At 40.9% G+C, this 21723-nt stretch overlaps 1 protein-coding gene and 1 long non-coding RNA gene across 9 annotated transcripts in view, besides 3 other annotated features; one reads left to right on the forward strand and one right to left on the reverse strand.

Moving 5' to 3' along the window:
* Nucleotides 1-21723, reverse strand: part of LOC124901750 (uncharacterized) — a 224798-nt gene that overhangs the window by 22154 nt on the left and 180921 nt on the right. For 2 of the 4 annotated variants that reach the window (XR_007060538.1, XR_007060536.1), the window contains one exon: nucleotides 16854-17470. The exons of 1 other annotated variant lie outside the window; for it this stretch is intronic. This is a non-coding gene — a long non-coding RNA (uncharacterized LOC124901750). Of the gene's footprint in view, nucleotides 1-16853; nucleotides 17471-19814; nucleotides 19896-21723 lie in introns of those variants that run through there. One more of the 4 variants, XR_007060535.1, reaches the window with a different exon arrangement.
* Nucleotides 5590-5739: an enhancer, noted in NCBI's record as "active region_26692". NCBI's record gives its function as "activates an Ori minimal core promoter by ATAC-STARR-seq in GM12878 lymphoblastoid cells {active_cell/tissue: GM12878}" and the evidence as "EXISTENCE:reporter gene assay evidence [ECO:0000049][PMID:35858748]".
* The window catches only part of BPGM (bisphosphoglycerate mutase), a 32964-nt gene continuing 16853 nt past the window's right edge, over nucleotides 5613-21723 (forward strand). Inside the window, exons 1-3 of one of the 5 annotated variants that reach the window (NM_001293085.2) lie at nucleotides 5613-5697; nucleotides 5895-6019; nucleotides 20207-20868. In NM_001293085.2, coding sequence (NP_001280014.1) covers nucleotides 20268-20868 — 601 coding nt within the window. In that variant the 5' untranslated portion in view covers nucleotides 5613-5697; nucleotides 5895-6019; nucleotides 20207-20267. Of the gene's footprint in view, nucleotides 5698-5894; nucleotides 6020-17107; nucleotides 17429-19424; nucleotides 19521-20206; nucleotides 20869-21723 lie in introns of those variants that run through there. The other 4 variants (NM_199186.3, XM_047420761.1, NM_001724.5 and 1 more) reach the window with 4 other exon arrangements.
* Nucleotides 5840-5949: an enhancer, noted in NCBI's record as "active region_26693". NCBI's record gives its function as "activates an Ori minimal core promoter by ATAC-STARR-seq in GM12878 lymphoblastoid cells {active_cell/tissue: GM12878}" and the evidence as "EXISTENCE:reporter gene assay evidence [ECO:0000049][PMID:35858748]".
* Nucleotides 8957-9251: a silencer, noted in NCBI's record as "tiled region #13526; K562 Repressive DNase matched - State 14:Gen5'". NCBI's record gives its function as "represses a minimal TATA promoter and a strong SV40 promoter by Sharpr-MPRA in K562 cells {active_cell/tissue: K562}" and the evidence as "EXISTENCE:reporter gene assay evidence [ECO:0000049][PMID:27701403]".

Below are 21723 nucleotides of genomic sequence, written 5' to 3' on the forward strand. Positions count from 1 at the left end.
GAGACATTCTAGAAATTACACTTCCACGTAAGTGTCACTGCCTTCTAAGTGTTATATTATGAGGTTACACACCCATTTCAAAGATGCTTCATGGGTGTCAACAATTCTGAGAAGCTTCTTTCAGAACTTACGTCAGAACCAGTGTATAAACCATAGCAGAAAAATAGGCTTATTGCTATATAGAAAATATTTCATAAATCCCCAAAGCTAAGGAAACAAATATGTGTGTAATGTTCTTAAGTTGATGCAGGGTTCATAAAGACTTCCTTTTATGAGTTTGACCTTCCAACTTGTAGAGTGAGGTCACTTCTTTAAGAAAATATGCATGTATGTAGGGGAAAAGTTATGTTATCTGAGTCTTCATCAAAGAATGAGGATATGTTCTTTTATCCAAGAGCTAGCTGACTGGGGAAGCCCATAGGCAGAAGAAAATCCTGGTCAGGAGGGGTTTTTTAATTTTATTTTTAGGGAGCAGATAAATACATCTTAGATGACTGACAACAAATTTTCCAAAGAAAAGAAGAATGAAGTTATATCAATAAGTTTTTAGGAGCAGTGCATGGTGGGAAGAGCTTAGAACAAAGGCTAAGAGTCAGACTCTGGTTTTGTAACTAGCTGTGCAGTCTTAGAAAAATTATCTCTCCCAGTTTTACTTTCCTCATCTGTAAATGGGGACACATATGCCAGGAGTTTTGTGAGGATTTACTGATGGAGCCCTGATAGTTTGGCTGTGTCCCCACCCAAATCTCATCTTGAATTGTATCCCCCATAATTCCCACTGTTGTAGGAGGGACCTGGTGGGAGATAATTGAATTATGGCAGCGGTTTTCCCCATACTGTTCTCATGATAGTGAATAAGTCTCACGAGATCTAATGGTTTTATAAGGAGAAACCTCTTTCGTTTGGTTCTCATTCTCTCTTTGCCTGCCGCCATCCATGTAAGACATGACTTGCTCCTCCTTGCCTTCCATCATGTTTGTGAGGCTTCCCCAGCCACATGGAACTGAAACTTCAATTAAACCTCTTTCTTTTGTAAATTGCCCAGTCTTGGGTATGTCTTTATCAGCAGTGTGAAAATGGACTAATACAAACTCTGATTTCCATCCACCATCCCCTCCATATCACCTCCCCACCCTGGCTCCTCAGCTAAACACCTTTTCTTCAGGTTAAAGAATAGAAAACTCTGTGGAGACAGAGGGTAAGCAGAAATCCTTCAGTAGCTATCAGGCTACTATCTTCACCTTTCTTAGCTCTGTAATATCAGAACATAGAGAAAAAAATTCCTGGCCACTTTATCAGTCTCCATGAAGAAAGGGTGGAGCCAGTAGGCATTGCCATTGGTTCAGTAGACATTCCCGGAGCACCGTCATTTAGAGAAAGCAGCAGCCCATTTAAATCAATGAATCTTTTTAGGAAACTGAAACAAGTTCAATGCCCAAGAGTAGAGAATTGGTTGGACAGTTCTCTACTCTTGTACATACCACCTGGATGCACATTCACGTAATGGGATTATATACGGAAGAAAAATATTAAATGACATTGGGACATGTTAATAACAAATTAAGTAGAAAAGATTGCCACAAAACAGTATATATACTAAGAGTCCAGGTTTTTTTTTAAGTAATTGATTTATGGGAAAAATAGGATATACAAAATGTTAAAAATAAATTCTGGAGGGTGGGATTATAGGTATTTTAAGTTTTTTCTTTTCTAAACCTTATACAATAAACATTTTAAAACATAAATTTATAATTAATAAATATAAGCTTTAAAAAAAACTCCATAGGGCAGAGTTTGTGTTTACCAGCATATAAACAACAAGCATTTAAAGAAACATGGGTTTTTCCTTAGTGGAGTAGAGAATTTGTAAAAGAGGAAAGCACCTCTCTTGATTCCTCATGTTTCTACCTTTTTCCCCTATCCTTGTCCCAGATCTGAAAGTAGTGGGGAAAAAAAATCAACCTGGCTCTTTTCCTATGCCAAGGTGCTTAGTCAATGTTTAGTTTTACTGTAGGGGAATTTCACATAGATCAGGCTTCCCAATACCAGAGGTTCCTGGCTCTGCCACTGGGTCTGTACCCTCTTTGGCATTCACTTCCTGCCCATTACCTCCCTGGGTAGCTGCAAGATAGCTGGGGAAATCCCAGTCTCATGCCCTCTGCAAGAGTCCAGGTCTCCACTTGAGTGGAGAGCAGGAAAAAGAGGCAAGCGCAATGCCAAGACTTTACTGAGTAATTTGAATAAGAATACTTGTAAATAGGTAAAATGCTTTACATTTATCATTACCATAATTGTTAAGAATAACAACTACCATTTATGAGATGCTTTCCATGTGGCAGGCACACATCACATTATCCCACTTAATTTTCACATTAGCGATTTGGGTATTATCTCTGTTTAACAGATAAAGACACTGAGGCTGAGGTCAAGCAATTTGCCTAGGCTATTCTGCATTTTGCTAGCCTAGCAAAACCATTGGCTCCTTCCTTCCAGCAAACTCTAGAGTTAGCTATGATTGTGAGGCTTCCCCAGCCACATGGAACTGTAAGTCCAATTAAGCCCCTGAGTTCCCAGTGCTGGAAAGTGACAGACACAAGGTGCTTCAAAGATTGCAAAGCTATTCCAAAACTGCCTCCATGATTCTTCACCCTACTCTGTGAGGAAGATGAGGATTCTAAGTTTTAACTTCTGAAAGAAAGGGACAGACTTTAAGGTCCCTTCTGAGAGGTCTGGATGGCTGACCCATAACAGCATTTCCAGTTTTTAGTTTCAGAAAAGGGAGTCTTGTACTTAGGAGGTCAATGATGGGGGCCACGCATAGGTCTATTATACTAGGTTACGAGTGGTAAATTTTAATCTGACCCTGAAGTAAGTAGGGTACAGTTGGAGACTAAACACTGGCAGCAAATAACCAACTCATGGTGTGTCCTGATACTGTGAAGAAAAGGAGACACTCCTGTACATGGCATATAGAACTAGCTAACTCTGGAGTTTGCTGGAAGGAGGGAGCCAATGGTTCTGCTAGGCTAGCAAAAGGGAGAATAGCCTAGGTCCGTGGATGATGTTTTGATGCACGGTGGACCAATTCAGCCATACGTGGAAAAGGCTAGAGGCTCTGTGCACATAACTGTGAAATTATTTTGACCAGGTATGTATGCTATCAATAAAATAGTGGTTTATTCAGGTCACAAGGAAGACAATTTTCAACTAAAACTCAAAGTATCACATGGGTTAATACTGACTTTTTGATATACACCTGTAACAGAAAGGAAGACAAAGAGACAACATAGCTATAATAATTTATTGCTTTTCATTTCTTGTTTGGATAAAAGTGAGACTACATCAAAAGCTGTTTGATGACACTGAATTATTTTCATAGTATCTATATCACTTGCTGTATCAGAACTGAAGTCCTCATGACTGGTCTTCAATGGAAGTGAATCCTAAAATTAATCTTAATTTAAAAAATACATTGCTTTTGGGGTGAGGAGGAGAAGGCAGCAGGAAGAGGAAGCATCTTCCCAGAATTATATGAATTAGCAACCTTGGGTCCTAGCCCAGGATTTGTCCCCAACCAAGTAATTCTGAGCACATCACTTAAGCTTCAGTTTCTTTATCTGTACAACAAGGAGCTAGAGTTTAATTTCCAAAGCCCTGTCAAGTACTAAGTTTGTACAAGTCTAATATTCTTTGGAGTTCATCTTTGCCTTAAATGGATTTATGATCATCTTTGTGAACCACGACCTCGTTATTTAAAAATTCATAAGAGAGACAGCTCATCGAATAGACCAGGACACAGGGTTCAGGATATGATACTGTAACATAATTAAGTATGGAGAACAATCTTGCCATAGGGCAAAAGTAACTCCTGAAATTCTGTTAGCCTCTGTGCACATTTGTCTTACAAACATGCTTGCTCCTGATGAAAATCTGCTTTTTAATTCCTTCTAGACAGAATCACTGATATAAGCTTCCATCTTATATCAAAATGACTCATTCATAAGCCACATACTCTTGCGAATGATTCTAAAAGGCAAGTGATGTTTGATATTAAGGTTTTATGTGACAAGCTAGCATTCCATGGGTGTCCATAACAACAGTAAACTTAAATCCAATGAGTAGGCGCCCTTAAGTCCAGACTAAGTAGCCCTAAATGCCAAATGCCACAAGACTGTCACTTGGTAATGACTGTCATTAGCCTCCGGAGTATGGATGGTGGGCACTCTGAATAGGAGCTTTATTACACTGTAGAAGAAAAGCTTTCTCCTTACTTTGTCCTCAACTGATATTGAGAAAAAAGCAAGAGGGCAAATGTATAAGATTTGGAAGCTGCCCCTTCCAGCTGTTCTGGCCTGAACTCTAGTTAATCTTGTGCAAGTTAAATTCTAACTATCACTAGGTGAGACCTATCACCTGCTGGGACCTGTCAAGCCTCGGATTAGTGCCGTCCCGGAAGTAAAGTTCTGTTGATATCCCAGGAGGAACTGTCATGCTCTAACATGGATAAATGAGATACAGAACTGGCTACGATTAGGTCTTAATGAGTTCAATAAAGAGTGTGTCACAGAATTTCAAATGTGGAAAGATTATCTTTTCAACTGTATGTATAATTTATTCTGAGGACTTGCTTGCGTGTCACAAACCTAATGCATTTGTTAGGAGGATGAAACAGGAAAAACTCACAGGAGGACACGAAACACTACTTAGGATAGCTTCTAAGAAGGGAATCTCCCATAACATTCCTTATCTTTCCCGCCCACCCAAGAGTTCTGACACATATGCTTCAAAACCTCGTGTGGTAGTTCAAGCCTGCTTAGAAGCTTTTAAGGCCTCGTGCCAGGTTTCCGGTGTTTTCATAGATTTCTCTTGTTCAGTTATTGTCGCCTCCAAATTTGTCATTCTCTCATTCCACTCTAGCCTCCCTTCCTCTGTGCAATAAGCTTTTAGGGCATTCCATTAATCACTTTTCTTCCCCACCTAAAATACTGTCAGCAAACTGCCTAGGGGAATCCCTATAAAAGCGGTAAGAGAAAGTAAGGTTGCGTTACTGCCTATAAATTGGGCACTTTAAAGGCATTTGTTTTAATCACGACTTAAGACTTTCAACCACGAGTAATTTGTGCGAAAGGAGCTTCTTCTGGGAGGATACCTCGGCTTCGTCTTCAGGTTTCAATCCCTAAATTTCCCATAAGTAAAAGAAACATCACCTCCTCTCTTCCAAGAGTCCGCTGACACCTGTCTTCACCCGCAGGTGTTTCTTTTAAGACGTTAAACGCTTTCTAGAACCTCAAACAGCTAAGATGCTCCCCGCACCCGAGGTTTTGCACCAGCGACGCTCTAGGGTGTGTTTTTCTACTTCCCTAGGCCCAAGCCTGCCCGCTGGCGTCGAAGCCAACTCCTTACTGGTTCAGGTATGTGCTCGTCTCTAGAGTAAACCAATCAGAGCCCCACTTCTTACTCCTGGGATTTGGTAAACGGAAGAGACCTCTCCTGTTCCGGGAGTAGGCCGGGACCGTGGATGAGTGACAGTTCGACTTTCCAATAGGCAGAGCCCTAGGACCTGCCCACGTCTGGTTCAGGGGCTAGAAAAGAGCGTCGATGCCGGCGGCAGTGATGAGTCCTAGGAGGCGCTGGCTCTTTGGCGGCTCGGAGGAGCGGCTGCTGCTGCTGCTGCTGCTGCTGGTGGCCCCTTTGCAGGTGAGTGGCTTTGTTTTAGAAAATGTTGCGAACGTTTACATTTTTTAGTGATGTGATGTTTTATTTTTGGGTGCGGGGAAGGCCAGTTTCTTTACTTCCCCCGGTTTAGTCGTTGGTGGGAGTCTGGTGCCCACTCCAGCCCTCAAGCTGGGACCCTCACTTATCGCCCCGGTCCCTTTCCCTTGTCCCTATCTCAGAATGAGCCTCGCAGGCAGTCACCGTTCTGTCAACTGAGAGGAGGAGCCCGCTTTGGTAGTGCTGTCCTTATGGCAAGAATATATAGAAGTTGGAGGGAAGATAAACTCTCTTCTGGATGTCTGAGGTACTGTGTAGCAGAGCCCTTCCAATAGTAAGATCCCCTGGAAGGAAGCAGGGCGATGCCGCTGTATTTAGGGTTCTGGCAGACCTGGCCCTATCTATCATTTTGTGTAGTAGACAGAAAAACTCGAATGCGGTGAAAAGAGAAGGAGGTGAATATATGCAGTGTTTTCATGTAGGAATCTGGAGCCAAATCACAAGTTCTTAGAACCACTAGAAATAAAAACGTAAGTGTATTTTCCTCTTTTCTAAGGGACGAGCTGGTATTACACTAGAGAAGGTCAATGAAATGCATAATTGCAGTTAAGTTCACAGTTAAGCTTTAAAGAATAGTTGGTTGTTAGCTAACTTATAACTCTCATCCCCCTACTGCCTCCCTTGCAAATTACGGAAGATCTTTAGCTTGTGAGTGGTACTAGAATGTTAGCTGACTAAATGCAGACTCTTTCCAAGAAGGGGAAAAATCAAAAGCTAAGTTTCACCTGTAGGTACTAAAGGTTTTTTAATAGTGAAAGCAGAACTCATGTCAATTTGTCTTTTATTTTTTATTTTTTTTGAAACGGAGTCTCGCTCTGTCGCCCAGGCTGGAGCGACTGCAGTGGCTCGATCTCGGTTCACTGCAACCTCCGCCTACCGGGTTCAAGTGATTCTCCTGCCTCAGCCTCCCAAGTAGCTGGGATTACAAGCATAGGCCACCACGCCTGGCTGATTTTTGTATTTTTAGTAGAGACGGGGTTTCACCATGTTGGCCAGGGTGGTCTTGAACTCCTGACCTCAGGTGATCTGCCTGCCTCGGCCTCCCAAAGTGCTGGGATTACAGGCGTGAGCCACCGTGCCTGGCCTTGTCTTTTTTCTTTCTTTCTTTCTTTTGTTTTGGTTTTTTTTTTGTTTTGTTTTCAGACGGAGTTTCGCTTCTGTTGCCCAGGCTGGAGTGCAATGGCGCGATATTGGCTCACCGCAACCTCCGCCTCCTGGATTCAATCGATTCTCCTGCCTCAGCCTCCCGAGTAGCTGGGATTACAGGCATGCGCCCCCACGCCCAGCTAATTTTGTGTTTTTAGTAGAGACAGGATTTCACCATGTTGGCCAGGCTGGTCTCGAATTCCTGACCTCAGGTGATCTGCCTGCCTCGGCCTCCCAAAGTGCTGGGATTACAGGTGTGAGCTACCGCGCCCGGCCTTCTTTTTTTTTGAACTGCCTCCCGTGAGTCCAGGGAATAGCTCTTTCTTAGCCATCTTTGTATTCCAGTAGCACCTCATACACCGCAGATGCTCCCCAGTTGGTGGTGGACTTCAGAGAAGCATAATTCAAACAGTGTCATAGTGGAAGGAGCTCTGAGTTAGAAATCAAGAACATTGGCTTTAGTCCTGAAACTGTTACTATTTGTGTGATCTTAAACAAATCATTTCAACTGTGACTCTTAATTTTTGCATTTTTTTTTTGAGACAGGGTCTCGCTCTGTTGCCCAGGCTGGAGGGCAGTGGCGCAATCTCTGCTCACTGCAACCTCCACCTCTGCCTCCTGGGCTCAAGCGATCCTACCATCTCGATTTTTGCATCTTTAGAAAGCAGATGTTGCATTAAATTATATCTGAGATATAAACTCTGTATTTAAAGTCTGTTTTAAAGTAAAAATTATTAGTATACAAGCAGAATCTCATTGCAGTAAATTCTGTACCATCTATTAGCAAGTAAAAGTTCCCAGCTTCAAGGATATATTCTTGTTTTTTAATTTTTAATTTTTGTGGGTACCTAGTAGGTGTATATATTTATGGGTTACATGAGATATTTTGACATAGGCATGCAATGCATAATCACATCAGAGTACATAGGGTAGCTGTCACCAAAAGCATTTATCCTTTATGTTTCAAACAATCCAATTGTACTCTTTTAGTTATTTGAAAATTTACAATTAAATTGTTTTTTTTTTTACTATAGTCACCCTGTTGTGCTAGCAAATACTAGGTCTTATTGATCTTCCTATTTTTGTCCCCATTACAAGGATATACTCTTTTGTGTTCCTATTTAAACCAAACCAGATTATTGTAGAAAATTTGGAGCATACCGAAGTATAATGTGGCAGAAAAATGTCACTTAGAAGCAACTACTGTTAGTGTTTGGGTAGAGCTTTTAGTCTTTCTTCCTCTTTTGCCTGCTGTGGTTGGTTGAGATTAAGAGGCACATTTTAAGTAATGATTGATGCACCTAAATTCACCTGGCCTTCATCTTTGTGTGTCTGGGGCCTGAAGAACAGAGGTCACAAACGTGTTTGAACCGAATGGTTTCTTGAAACATCCTTGGAATGAAATCTGATATGAAAGATGTTTATATGGGTGGCAGGACAAAAAGTATTACTTAATAACAAAACCCTTCTGCTGAAACTTAGCCACAAATATGAGGAAAACATACTTTGTAAAATATAAATTAAATGTTAACCACTTCATTAAAGCATTTGGATTGCAGAATATTAGTACTTGGTAAGCTTCTGAGACTGTATCTTACCATCACCTTCTTCCATCCCACAATATTTGATTGCATTCCTCCTTCTACCACCTAATTTAAGCATTTCTCCTCTAATTCCTCCCTTCATTTTACTTTATTCCCAGCTTTCGCTTCTGCTCATATCATCGGCAAGGTAGGATTGCTTTGACGGGCCTGAGATCTGTGCCATTATTTATGAGTTAGTCAAAGTCTGCTCCATTCTACCTCTCACTTTTTGGTAGAGTGCTTCACCATAATCTCATTTAATCTTTCTGATAGCCCCCTGAGAACAGTAGTTTCATGATCCTCATCTTTATAGATATGGAACCTGAGGTTCAAAGAATTTAAATAAGTTAAGATCACATTGTCAGTCAGTAGCAGAGCTGGGCTCATATCTAGGTTGTTTTTACTTTAGACTTTTGGAATTTGGTGGACACAGTTTGTGTTGATAAAAGCTACTACCCTGGGGAAGACAATGACCAGAGATAGGAAGGAGGGGTCCGTCATGAGTGGGTGTTGTCCACAGTGGTGATGCCATGCAGGCTGGAACATGCAACATGCCCTGAGCAAATGCACATCTCATTACATATGTATATCTCTTCGCCATGAGTAGGGATCTGCCTGGTATGGTTGGTTATTCTTGTAACAAGCAATCAGTAGGAAATATTAGTAGATGTAAGATTGGGGAATGAGAGGGTTTTAGTGTCTGGAAAACACCTGTAAGTGGTAACATTTGCTCCTGTAAAATGATGTTCTTATAACTGCAAGTACAGATGAAAAAGTTTCTACAAAGCCTTAGGAAAAGTAATAGACCATGGAACACTTTTAGGTACAGTTGTGTTTGAACTTCTAATAGTGAACTTGATTTGGGGGAAGGCATAGTTTGTTAAGACATTAAAAGCCTTGGCCGAGCACGGTGGCTCACGCCTGTAATCCCAGCACTTTGGGAGGCCGAGGCGGGCAGATCACGAGGTCAGGAGATCAAGACCATCCTGGCTAACATGGTGAAACCCTGTCTCTACTAAAGATAACAAAAAAAATTAGCCGGGCGTGGTGACGGTCACCTGTGGTCCCCGCTACTCAGGAGGCTGAAGCAGGACAATGGCACGAACCTGGGAGGCGGAGCTTGCAGCGAGCCGAGATCACGCCACTGCACTCCAGCCTGGGCGACAGAGTGAGACTGCGTCTCAAAAGAAACATTAAAAGCCTTAAGGAACTGAGCCCCAGATTTCATTTCCCTTGAGACCTGTTCCTTTTTACTTTGTTAAAGACATGGTTCTTTTTCTCTGTCCTCAAATAATAGCCAGCCCATCTTCTATAAAGTTAGATTCCTCTTGCAGTGGGGGTTAAAAGTTGCTCAAAGCCACACAATAAGGGGTTTGGACCAAGGAAAACGTCATCTGAGTGTCTAGGGTAGCAACTGACTAATATTTAAATGTGAGCTTTGAATCTAAGTGACTCTGGTTCTATTTGTCTTATTTTATATAACTTCAACATTATATTGCTGATCAAATTTCTTGCTTAAACGTTGGAAATACAAGAAAAACTAGGTTTTTAAGTTGGACTTTACCCTGTAGTTTGTCCTATTTGTCCGTGAGTTGTACCACTAGGGTCTTAGGCATTATTAACTTTCAAACACGTGAGGAAGGGAGGAAGCAAAGTCCCAGGAGTGTCAGTTTGGAAGACAGGATGAGCCTCAGTTATGGGGAGTACTTATAACAGAGGAGCCTCAGTTATGGGAGAAATATAATGTGAAATTATATTTCACATAATTTCATATGTGGAATTATATAGTTTAATGAAGGAGTAGGAAGCAGCAGCAGATGATCATGCTACATTTGTTGAAAGTACTTAGGGATCTCAAAAATATTAAGAGGGGTAACCTTAGTAAATGCAGTGCCTTGCAAGTACATCACTCCCCTATCTACAGTCCCTGTCTTGCCAAAAAGAATGCTAATCTTGAATCATAATTTTATGTTTCAATTTTATGGTGGCATTATGGAAAGAATATTCTTTGCTTTATAGCTAACTTAGATGGAATTTCTATACATTTATAGTGAAAGATCTTTGAAAGTTATAAGTCACCTGCAAAGTATGTTCTTTGATTTGTTTATTGTCAAAGCAATTACATAGCACCTACTCCTGAGCAAGTATACATTCCCCTGAAGTGTGAGGCACTATGGGATAATTTATGAAGATGTCTAATGGGGTAAAGTGTGTCAAAATGACAGATGATATTTTTGAAGGAGATTAACAGGATGAATCCTATAGTTTTCCCCTATAGTTCAATCTTGAACCTATTCCTAAATAATTTAGTTAAGCAAAAGTCAAGTACTCAGACTGATTTAAATGTCTTCAGTATTGCCTTCTGTGAGGAATAAAAACAATTATGAATGGGATTCCATTACTCATGGTACTTGCCGTTCTGGCCAAGAATAAAATCTAGTGATTTCATAATGTTGGGATTATTCTATGACGGGATGCTTAAAGGTTAAAAATGCTGATGTCATTAGTAGATCTAAGTGTGGGATCCAGCTAGGCCAATATCGGCATATTGAGGGCTTCTGGCCTATACCGTTTTTTAAAAAATTTACATTTTTAATTTTAAATTATGGATGCATAATAGTTGTATATATTTATAGGTATATGTGATGTTTTGGTACAGATATACAATATGTAATGATCAAATCAGAGTAATTGATTTACCTCATGCATTTGTCTATTACCTCATGCATTTATTTTTTGTGTGTTGGGAACATTCTAATTCCATTATTTTAGTTATTTTAAAATGCAATAAATTATTATCACCCTATTGTGCTACTGAATACTGATCTTATTTATTCTAACTATAGTTTTGTACCTGTTAACCATCCTCACTTTAACCCCCTCGCTCCTGTTACCTTTCCCTGCCTCTGGCAACCATAATTCTGCTATTGCAATACATTCAATTTTCAAAATTTTTAGCTCCCACATATGAGTGAAAACATGTGAAATTTGTCTTTCCATGCCTGACTTATTTCACCTAACCTTAGGCTCTCCAGTTCCATCCATGTTGTTGTGAATGACAGGGTTTCGTTCTTTTTATGGTTGAATGATATTCCATTGTATATATGTGCCAAATTTTCTTTATCTGTTCATCTGTTGATGGGCACTTAGATTGCTTCCATATCTTGGCTATTGTGAATAGTGCTGCAACAAACATGGAGTGCAGGTATCTCTTCAGTATACTTATTTGCTTTCTTTTGGATGTATACCCAGTGGCGGGCTTGCTGGATCATATGTCTACTACCTGTTTTTGAACAGCCCACAAACTATGCATGGGTTTTACATGTAAAACGGTTGAAATAAATTAATATTTCATGTGCATGAAAATTATATGAAATTCTAATTTCAGTGTCCATACCTGAAGTTTTATTGAAACAGATTTATTCACTTATATATTATGTATGGTGGCTTTCAGCTGCAATGGCAGAATTATACAATTGTACCTAATTATGGCAGAGACCAGTATAGCCTAGAAAGCCTAAAAAATTTGCTATTTGGTGGTTTACAGAAAAAGTTGCTAACATCTGAGCTAAGCTATAGTGTCTTTCACGTTTATCTCCTTCATCTCACTTAAACGGCCATTGTCCTGGTCCAAGTCTTTATTCTGTGTTACCAGAATTATTGCAAAAACCTCTCAGCTAGTGTTCATACTCCTGGGTTTTCCTGTCTATTTCTGTAAGTAAGTGCTGCCTGATCCTGCTAAAATGCATGCTACTAAACTTTTAATGATGTCCCAATATGTATAGAAAAACCTACATGCTTTGGCACAGGCTTTTTTTGTGTCACTATTTTTTCTTATCTTTCTAGGCTAGTCTTCTCCTGCTTCCTTATTATACCCTATACTTACAGTGGCCATATAATTTTCCAAATGGGACACTTAAGTGTGAAAGGGGCCCTAGTAGTAATTATGTTGGGGAAACAGGCCTAAGACAATACTGTTCTGTAATAATGATGCATGTGCCTCTTTCTCCTAACTACCCTCTCTGTCTTGACCTTGCCAAAAGAATGCTAATCTTGAACCATAACTTCAATTTTATGGTGGCATTTATGGAAAGAATATTTTTTGCCTATTAGGCAAATCAGGATGTATGGTTACTCTAGCTATACTCCAACCAGTTTGAATGGGCTCGCCATTTTCCATATGTACCTGTTCCTTTGCCTTCACTCACTGTTCCCCTAGATTGGAATTCCTTTACTTTTTTCTGTAAATCTAAACCTTGCCTTTCCAAATCCAGCTTAAAAAATACTGTGTCCACGAAGCCTTACTCAGAAATATTCTCTCCCATCCCACCTCTCTTTTACTAATGAAGTGCTTTCTCATGGTGTGAATTACTTTGAGTTTTAGGTACACACACACACACACACGTACTGAAGATGAAGACATAATTCTTGTTGGATTACATATTCCTCATAGGCCTAGCATTGGGCCATGCCTAAATGGGATCTGCAAAATGTTTGAAGAATGAATTAATTGGTCAGGCTAGGGCGACTGAGTATTTGGGGCTTTCAATTTATGAGTCATCCATTTTAATGTGATTAAAGCAGTGAGAAAAGGGTTTCCAAGAACTGAAGACTGAGCCTCAGGTTTCAATGTGACAGTGTAGCAAAATGGTTCAGGGCATAGATACAGACTTCTCGAGACTAAATTCCAGCTCTGCCATTTACAGCCTCTGTTACCTTAGGCAAGTTAACCTTTCCTCCTGTTTCTTCATCTGTGAAATGGGAGTAATCATAGTAGCCACTCCATGGAATGGTGGTTGAGGATTCAAACAGTGCCAAGTAACATTGAACTAACATTCACAGGTGAGCACTCTGTGAATGTTGGCTACTGTGACTAATATGATCATCTTCATAGTACTCTTACAGGTAGGTAAGAAAATGCAGACACCCAAGACCAAGATGTAACCGTGGAAGAGCTGGAGGAAATGCTACACCAAAATCTTAGTGGGTTTTTTTTCTTGATGGAAGTAGTCTGTTTTAGAGAAGTCATGAGAGAAGATGATCTCCACTTAGTAAGAAGTAACTAACCTGTAGTCTTTTGAGGCACCATTTCAGTAGAGTGGGTAAGGCACAAGTTTGGTGTCAGGAAACTAAAAAAGGAATGGCTAGAAGGGAAGGTAAATGGACAAGAGGAAGGGGAGGGAGGATAAGATACACAGCTGTGTAAAAGATGTTTCCTTAGTAAACTTTTTCTTCAAGCCAGATCACACTTTAAAAAGGAAGACACCCTGGGGGATAAATCAATAACCTATGTGTTCTTTTTTTGACATGATGTAAATTATTGATTAAAATCGGTACTTAAGTGCCAGTAACTTTTGCTATGGGATAAATGAGAAACCAGGTACAGGTTGGTGAGCTTTTATGAAAAACAAAACAAAACAAAAAAAATAAAGCTTGAGGTTGAAAAGGAATAGTTTTTAATTTGGGATGGGGAGTATTTATTCTTAGTAAGGTTCCTCTTTATAAGTTGGGGTGACTATTGCCTGGCTTACTTTGTGCCTTGAGGTTTTTCTCAAGAGTACTAATAAGGTGAGCCCTCCTTCATGTTCACCTTGTTCGTTTGCGTTTGATGAAATGGCTGCCTGGGTTTGGAAGGACAAGTTGGAACTGGAGATACCCCTGTGAAGTGAAGCCAAGTGAGCCAAGATCCTCAAACCATGACTCTAATATCTCCAGTGGGGGGTTGAAGGCAGAAGACCAGGGTTGCAGTTCCAGTTTGCCATTTACTGGCCATATGTTTTTGAACAAGTCAATCAGAATCTCCATTTTTTTCTGTGGAGATTATGGCCATCCATGAACATACTAAACTTATAGTACAAAAGTACAAAGTACAGAACTATAATGGATAATTATTCTTGGCTCCTGTTTTGACATAAATACCCTGAGATTCTTAAGTTAAAGTTTCCTAACATCTTAGCCCTGCCAACTGATTTTACTGTGGCAGTTACCACTAAAACTCTCAAGCCTTAGTCTCATGTGTACAATCCAGTCATTTCTGTCTGACTTTGGTTCAGTCAGTACACCTACTGAGTGCCTCATATGTGCCAAGCGATGTGCTAGGTTCTAGAGATACAGCAGTAAGACCTGCCTTGATGCAGCTTACAGTCTTACAGGGCACATAGCCATTGAACAGGTAATATATCTCAAGGGATCCATCGCAAGTGCACCAAATGTGGTTAAGCGGGATGCTACAGGAGTAGGTCAGCAGGCCTGACCTACTTCCCAATGGGTGAAGAGGAAGTCTAAAGCCAGGGGTTCTCAAAACATGGTCCTTGGACCAGCCATGTCACCATCACCTGAGGACTTGCTAGAAATGCATATTCACAGTCCCACCCCAGACCTACTAAATCAAGCTCTGGAAGTGGGCCCAAGCAATCTGTTTAATTTGATTTTGATATACATTAAAGTTTGAGAACCACTGGCCTACAGGAACTAACATTTAAGCTGAGCTCTAAAGCTGCATGATCTAGTGCGGTAGCCACTGGTCACATGTGGCTATGGAGCACTTGAAATGTGGCTGGTTCACATTGAGATATGCTTTCATTATAAAGTACACACCAGATTCCAAAGACATACTGTGAAAAAAAAGAATGTAAATTGCCTTATTAATAATTTTTGTATGGATCATGTGTTAGAATTGTATTAGTTCTCATGCTGCTAATAAAGACATATCAGAGACTGGGTAATTTTATAAAGGAAAGAGGTTTAAATGATTCACAGTTCAGCATGGCTGGAGAGGCCTCAGGAAACTTACAATCATGGTGGAAGGGAAGCAAACATGTCCTTCTTCACATGGTGGCAGCAAGGAGAAGTATAAGTGAAGTGGGGGCAAAGCTCCTTATAAAACCATCAGACCTCGTGAGAACTCACTTTCTATCATAAGAACAGCATGAGGGTAACTGTCCCCATGAATCAATTACCTCCCACTGGGTCCCTCCCATGACACATGGGGATTATGGGAACTACAATTCAAGATGAAATTTGGTCTTGGCCCCTCCCAAATCTCATGTCCTCTCATTTCAAAACATAATCATGCCCTTTCCAACAGTCGCCCAAAGTCTTAGCTCATTTCAGCATCAACCCAAAAGTCCAAATCCAAAGTCTCATCTGAGACGAGGCAAGCCCTCTCTGCCTATGAGCCTAGAAAATTGAAAGCAAGTTAGTTACTTCCTAGATACAGTGGGGCTACAGGCATTGGGTAAATATACCTGTTCCAAATGGGAGAAATTGGCCAAAACAAAGGGGCTACAGCAGGCCCCATGCAAGTCCAAAATCCAATAGAGCAGTTGTTACACCTTAAAGTTCCAAAATGATCTCCTTTGACTCCATGTCTGAATGATAGCTTTTGGACCTATAGGATTCATGTGGCTTGTAGAAAATTTAAAACTTCATTGTGCCTCGCATTATATCTTGATTGGACACAACTGATCTAAAGGATGACTAGAGCTTAACCTAAAGCAGGGTGAGACTGAAGTGGCAATGGAGAGAAGAGATGAAGGGTGAGTGTTCTGCATAGGGTACAGTGTGTGCAAAACTACTGAGGCAAGAAAGAACCTGACATGCTCAAGGAAATAAAACGAAAGCCTTGCAGGTCACATGAAGGATTCTGAACATTTTCTAAGACCAGTAGGAAGAATTGAGGTTTTAAAATAAGATACTCAATTTTCAAGGAGTTTAATTGTTAGTTTGCAGTTAATAAATGAGGGCAAGAGAACTTCAACTGAATATAGCAAGACTTTCAACATTGAAGCTCCCCAACTCCCTAGGATGGTGGGGGAGGGGCGATTTGGTCAGTGGAGGAAGCAGGACGCTGCCCATCACCTGAACCTAACCCTAGGGTATGAGGCATGAGCACCCCCCACTAGAGAGAGAAGCAGTGTCACCTGGGAAGAGGTCGTTTTCAGTTCAGATCTTTTTCAGTGCAATTGACACTCAAAGCTGAGTGGGAGTTTGAGGACAGAGCTAGGAATTCTGCAGGGCACCAGCAAATGGTTTGGTGAGGGAGGGCTGTAAAGGTGGGTCAGGGAGAAGGAAGCCCAGAGCATTATGGGGATTAGAGGGTCTGTCCTTTGAAAGGCTGTGTTGGGCAATAACAGGAAAGCTGGTTAAGTGGTCCAGACGCTTGGGTTCTGACCGTCTCCTGGGGTATAGTGGCTGTACCATTTATCTGTGGCCTAGGGGAGGTTTCCCTTTAAGTCAGAGGTCATAAGCTAGCAGCCACGATCTAGCCTGCAGAAGAAATGTTTTGTTTCACTCACATTTTACAAATATACATTAGTTGCTAATATTTAAATCAGATATCAGATAAAAATACACGTTTTCATTTTTTTTTTAATTGGAAGATCTAGAAACCTCAGTTGCTCAGTATCACAGGGCAATGGGCTGGAGCTAAGTAGTAGGTACTCCTTTGATTTTTTACATGAATTTTTAGGAGGTTTTGAAATGATTGTTTTAGCTTTTTTAAAAAAGACATTTATTTACTCAAAGTTTCTCTGTGGTCTGACTCTAAGTCTTGCATTCATCCTAGTCTTCGATGTCAGCAATCCCATCTTCTTTTTGTTTTCCAGAAAAGTTCTAAGAACAGTGCTGTTGGCTCAGTGAGATGAGGTTATCGGAAAACTTTCTGTTTACACAAGAGTTGCCTCCTTCAAAGAAGCATGCATGGTCCTTGCAGGTCACTGTGCCCATCACTCTGCATAGTCCAGCTGCACTCTGCTTCACACAGCTGCCTGCCCATTGCAGGCATTTGAGTTTGCAATCCATGCCTTAAACTTTAAATCACACTGGCTACAGCGTTGTGTGTTTCTTGGTAAACACTGGGTAAATCAGCTCCTGTGGATGTTGACTGAAGTTTCTATGTTTGCAAGCTAATCCTCAGCAGTTTCTTTGTAAGTATCCAGCAGTTAAGTGGGAAAAGTCCGTTGATAGTACTAGGGAGGAGAGAGGAAAGTGACCTTTTGTTTTCTTGAGATAGACATACTAGTTTAGTACTTTATCATGTATTCACCTGCGTAAATGTATTCCTGTGCTTCAGAGTGAGGGAAGGATGCATATTTGCATAGTTTTTGTGACTGCAGTACTGTTCCTCTGTTCTGGTGTGTGTGTGTGTGTATTTTTTTTTTAGTAAAAAGAAAACAGAACTTTGTTTTAATGCAGTAAGCAAATATAGGAGAATAAGATACCACAAAGCTTGGTGGTGGGTGCCTGAGTGTCCATGTTGCTATTACTACATTGTTTTGTCCCCTTGATATAGTTTATAATCAAAAGATGGTGGAAAGGTGCTTCTGTCTACAAAATTTGTCTAACCATGCCCTTCTTTAACTGAAGAGAGAATGGCTTCATTAGCTTATGGAGGTTTCTCACTTGACAAGATAAACTGAGGGTGAAGGTAGAGGAACAGTTGATAGCTTCTTTTTTCTCCATCCCCCTCCTCCACTACCAATAACAAAACAAAATGATCAATGGTTACAAAGGGTAGATACAGTTTTTGATGGAGCTGAGGCTTCTACTACTTGGTGGATTGGGGCTTTGTAAAGAAACACTGCAAAAATATCTTCCATTTGCAAATTAACACACTTACACACACCCCTCCGTGTGTGTGTGTGTGTGTGTGTGTGTGTGTGTGTGTGTGTTCATCACCTGGTTTCTCACAGGTGAGGGGCTCTGAAGCTTGAACTTTGTTAGATTCATGACTATTCTGCCCCTGGGCACAGGCAGTCATCTGGCAAAACACTGCCTAGATACCTTTTGTTCCCTTCTCTGTTCTGCCACCCTGATGCCTCTTCTAGGCTAAGGACAGAGACATTGGGCTTCCTCCTTGGGAATTCTCAGCTCTGTGGGATGCTTTAATCTGGGTCCTGAGCCCAGGCTCTTCTGGTTCCCTGGCACTTCCCTGCTGCACATGCACAGCAACCTGGTACTTAACAAGAAAGGAAAATCATCATCCTAACTGCTGTAGCCTTTCAACTTCAGTCATGCACCACCTAATGATGTTTCAGTCAAGCATGGATCGTGTAAATGATGGTGGCCCTGTAAGATGGTAATGGAGCATATATAGACATCTGATATGTGGCACTTGACATTGGCATTGCAGATCGAGTAGGGGAAATGACTGATATTCAGTAATTGTGCTGGGATACTTGGCTTTCCATATGAAAAAACATAAGTAACAATATGTATACCATCTAGGTTTGTGTAAGTACATTCTATGTTGTTTGCACGACAAAATCACCTAATGATGCATTTGCCAGGACATATTCCCTTCATTAAGCAACACATGACGATACTTGCAAATCACCTCAATTTGATTTCTTTCCTTAAGTCCTCTGTTTGCCTTCCATTGAAATATAAAGCCTTATTTTAAAGACTGTTTTCCCTTCAGAATCTCTAGGAATTACTAAAGAAAGGTAGAAACTAGATCTAGATTCCAATCAATTTTGCCATTGATTGTTATTTTACTGTGGGTGACTCACAGTTTAAGTGGGAGAGAAAATCTCCAGTTAATGGAAGTTGCCAAGAGTGGCAGAAGACCAGGCTGTAGTGCTCGTATAATCTTTACAACCCAGTGTGCAAAACACTGGAGGAGAGATGGAGAGGCCGGGCGTGTAAACCAAGCATGTGTCAGTGCAGATGTGTCCACCACAAGGAGAGAGAGAGGCGGGCTGAGCAGCCATGTCAGCAGATTCTCCGAGGATGGAGTGGGCCCAGCAGATCTTCAGGCCAGCAGCTTAAATGTAAGGAGTTCAGCATAGCTTGAGAGTTGCTGGTCTCCCTTTACTAGATTCTCCCCCTGCTAAGACGTAGCTGGTGTGTGTAGGATATCTGGAGGGCTGGGGAGGAGGAGGTGGGGCCTCTTTATCAGTGTGGTTCCTCTCACTCCTGCCTACCAGATCTGTTTGTACAGGCAGCATCCCTCAGCTGCTTGCATTTGATAGCTTATTTTGCATCTGGATTTATTCCTGCTGAAAACTCTATCTTGAGGTAGGTGCAAGATTATTTAGGTACGTACCATATTTGGTGTTAATGTCTCTTTAAAGCACTTTTAATTTGTCTGAATGTTGAACTGATGTGTTTTGCATACCTTAGATTTTCTTGTGTGTTGTAGCCTGTGGCATTGAAGAGCTAGTTGCCACCAGCCAGTGATACATATCAGATATATGCAGTGGTGCATTGAAATAACATGTTTAATAACTTCTATAATAAGAATGTGAGACTGGTAAATACTTCTTTTTCCACCACAGGAAAACAAAGTGAAAAGGATGCCTTCAGTGTAGAGTCAGCTGCTGGGAGCTGGGAGTTCCCAGCCACTAGTCATTCTTTCAGACGTCTGTAACTCATTCTATTAAATCCTTTCTACTGTAAGCATAAATTGCCTTTGTATCTGGCAGAAACACAGCATGCCATTAGAATGAAGTGTTTTGTTATTTTATGTCATGCAATTAACATGCTATCCAAACATCAGAAAATTTAAGTCAACTAGATTCCCTGTAATGAATTATTAATATCTATAGAATATGCCTGTATGTGTCACAGTGTATGAGTTATCACATTTCTGACTGTTCAAAGGGATTTCAGTTTCTTTTAGAAATTGGGTGTTGTAAAGCGATGTTTCTATTCCTAGATTGTCAGTTGAATATAACTTAGACTTGTTGTTCTTGTCTTTCTAGATGTATTGCTGTCCTTGAATATTAGCCCATTTGAAAACGCCTGGGAAGTTCAGCCATCAGTATGTCCAAGTACAAACTTATTATGTTAAGACATGGAGAGGGTGCTTGGAATAAGGAGAACCGTTTTTGTAGCTGGGTGGATCAGAAACTCAACAGCGAAGGAATGGAGGAAGCTCGGAACTGTGGGAAGCAACTCAAAGCGTTAAACTTTGAGTTTGATCTTGTATTCACATCTGTCCTTAATCGGTCCATTCACACAGCCTGGCTGATCCTGGAAGAGCTAGGCCAGGAATGGGTGCCTGTGGAAAGCTCCTGGCGTCTAAATGAGCGTCACTATGGGGCCTTGATCGGTCTCAACAGGGAGCAGATGGCTTTGAATCATGGTGAAGAACAAGTGAGGCTCTGGAGAAGAAGCTACAATGTAACCCCGCCTCCCATTGAGGAGTCTCATCCTTACTACCAAGAAATCTACAACGACCGGAGGTATAAAGTATGCGATGTGCCCTTGGATCAACTGCCACGGTCGGAAAGCTTAAAGGATGTTCTGGAGAGACTCCTTCCCTATTGGAATGAAAGGATTGCTCCCGAAGTATTACGTGGCAAAACCATTCTGATATCTGCTCATGGAAATAGCAGTAGGGCACTCCTAAAACACCTGGAAGGTACCAGCTTTATATACCACTTATTAGAGGTTGCCAAGTGTGATATCTAGGCCTTAATCTAGAAATTAAGCTAATGAGGCCCTATTTACACAATAGACTCCTCTATCCCCCTTTGTCACTTCAGATTTAAGAATTGTCTTGTTCTATAAATCAGATCTCTTGTGTGTTTTCTGTTCCTGTTACCCGAAGCAGCAGTTTTCAGACTTTAGCAAGCATCAGAGTCACCTGGAGAGGTTGGTGTATCACAGATTGTGGGTCCCACCCTCAGAGTTTCGGAATCAGTAGGTCTGGGGCGCACCCTGAGAATCTGCATTTCTTAGAAGTTTTAGGTGATGCTGATACTGCTGATTGGGGTTCCACACTTTGAGAAGCACTAGTCTAAAGGACTGTATGGCTTGTTGTAGTGAAATGAAAGGAAGCTAGGAAAGGAAGGAATTGTTGAAATGGCCTTGAAAGTAAATTAGAGTTTTTCAAGTCAAGTAAATTATCTAGACTTCAGTTTTGCTCACGTTCTTCCAACTTTAAACAATGATTGCTGTTCCTAGACGTAGGTTTCCTGAGCAGTTCTTTTGTTTCAAACTTCTTTTCAGAACAGGCTTAGTCATTGACTGGAAGAAAGTTAGGGGGAAGGAAACTAAAAGGATAGTTGGTTTATTTATCTTGACTCTAAAAATTTGGAAATCAGCAGCAGCCATAATTTTAACTACTTTATGTCATGTTCTACATGTATACTAAAACATACTGTATTGTTACCTTTTTAAGTAACATGAACCAAATGAACTCTTGAGGATTCAGGTTCACCGGTTTTGAGCATCAGTGATTGCACTGTGACACCTTCTGGATTTCTCACTGTTC

Source organism: Homo sapiens, chromosome 7 (assembly GCF_000001405.40).
Source record: "Homo sapiens chromosome 7, GRCh38.p14 Primary Assembly".
Lineage (NCBI taxonomy): Eukaryota > Metazoa > Chordata > Mammalia > Primates > Hominidae > Homo > Homo sapiens.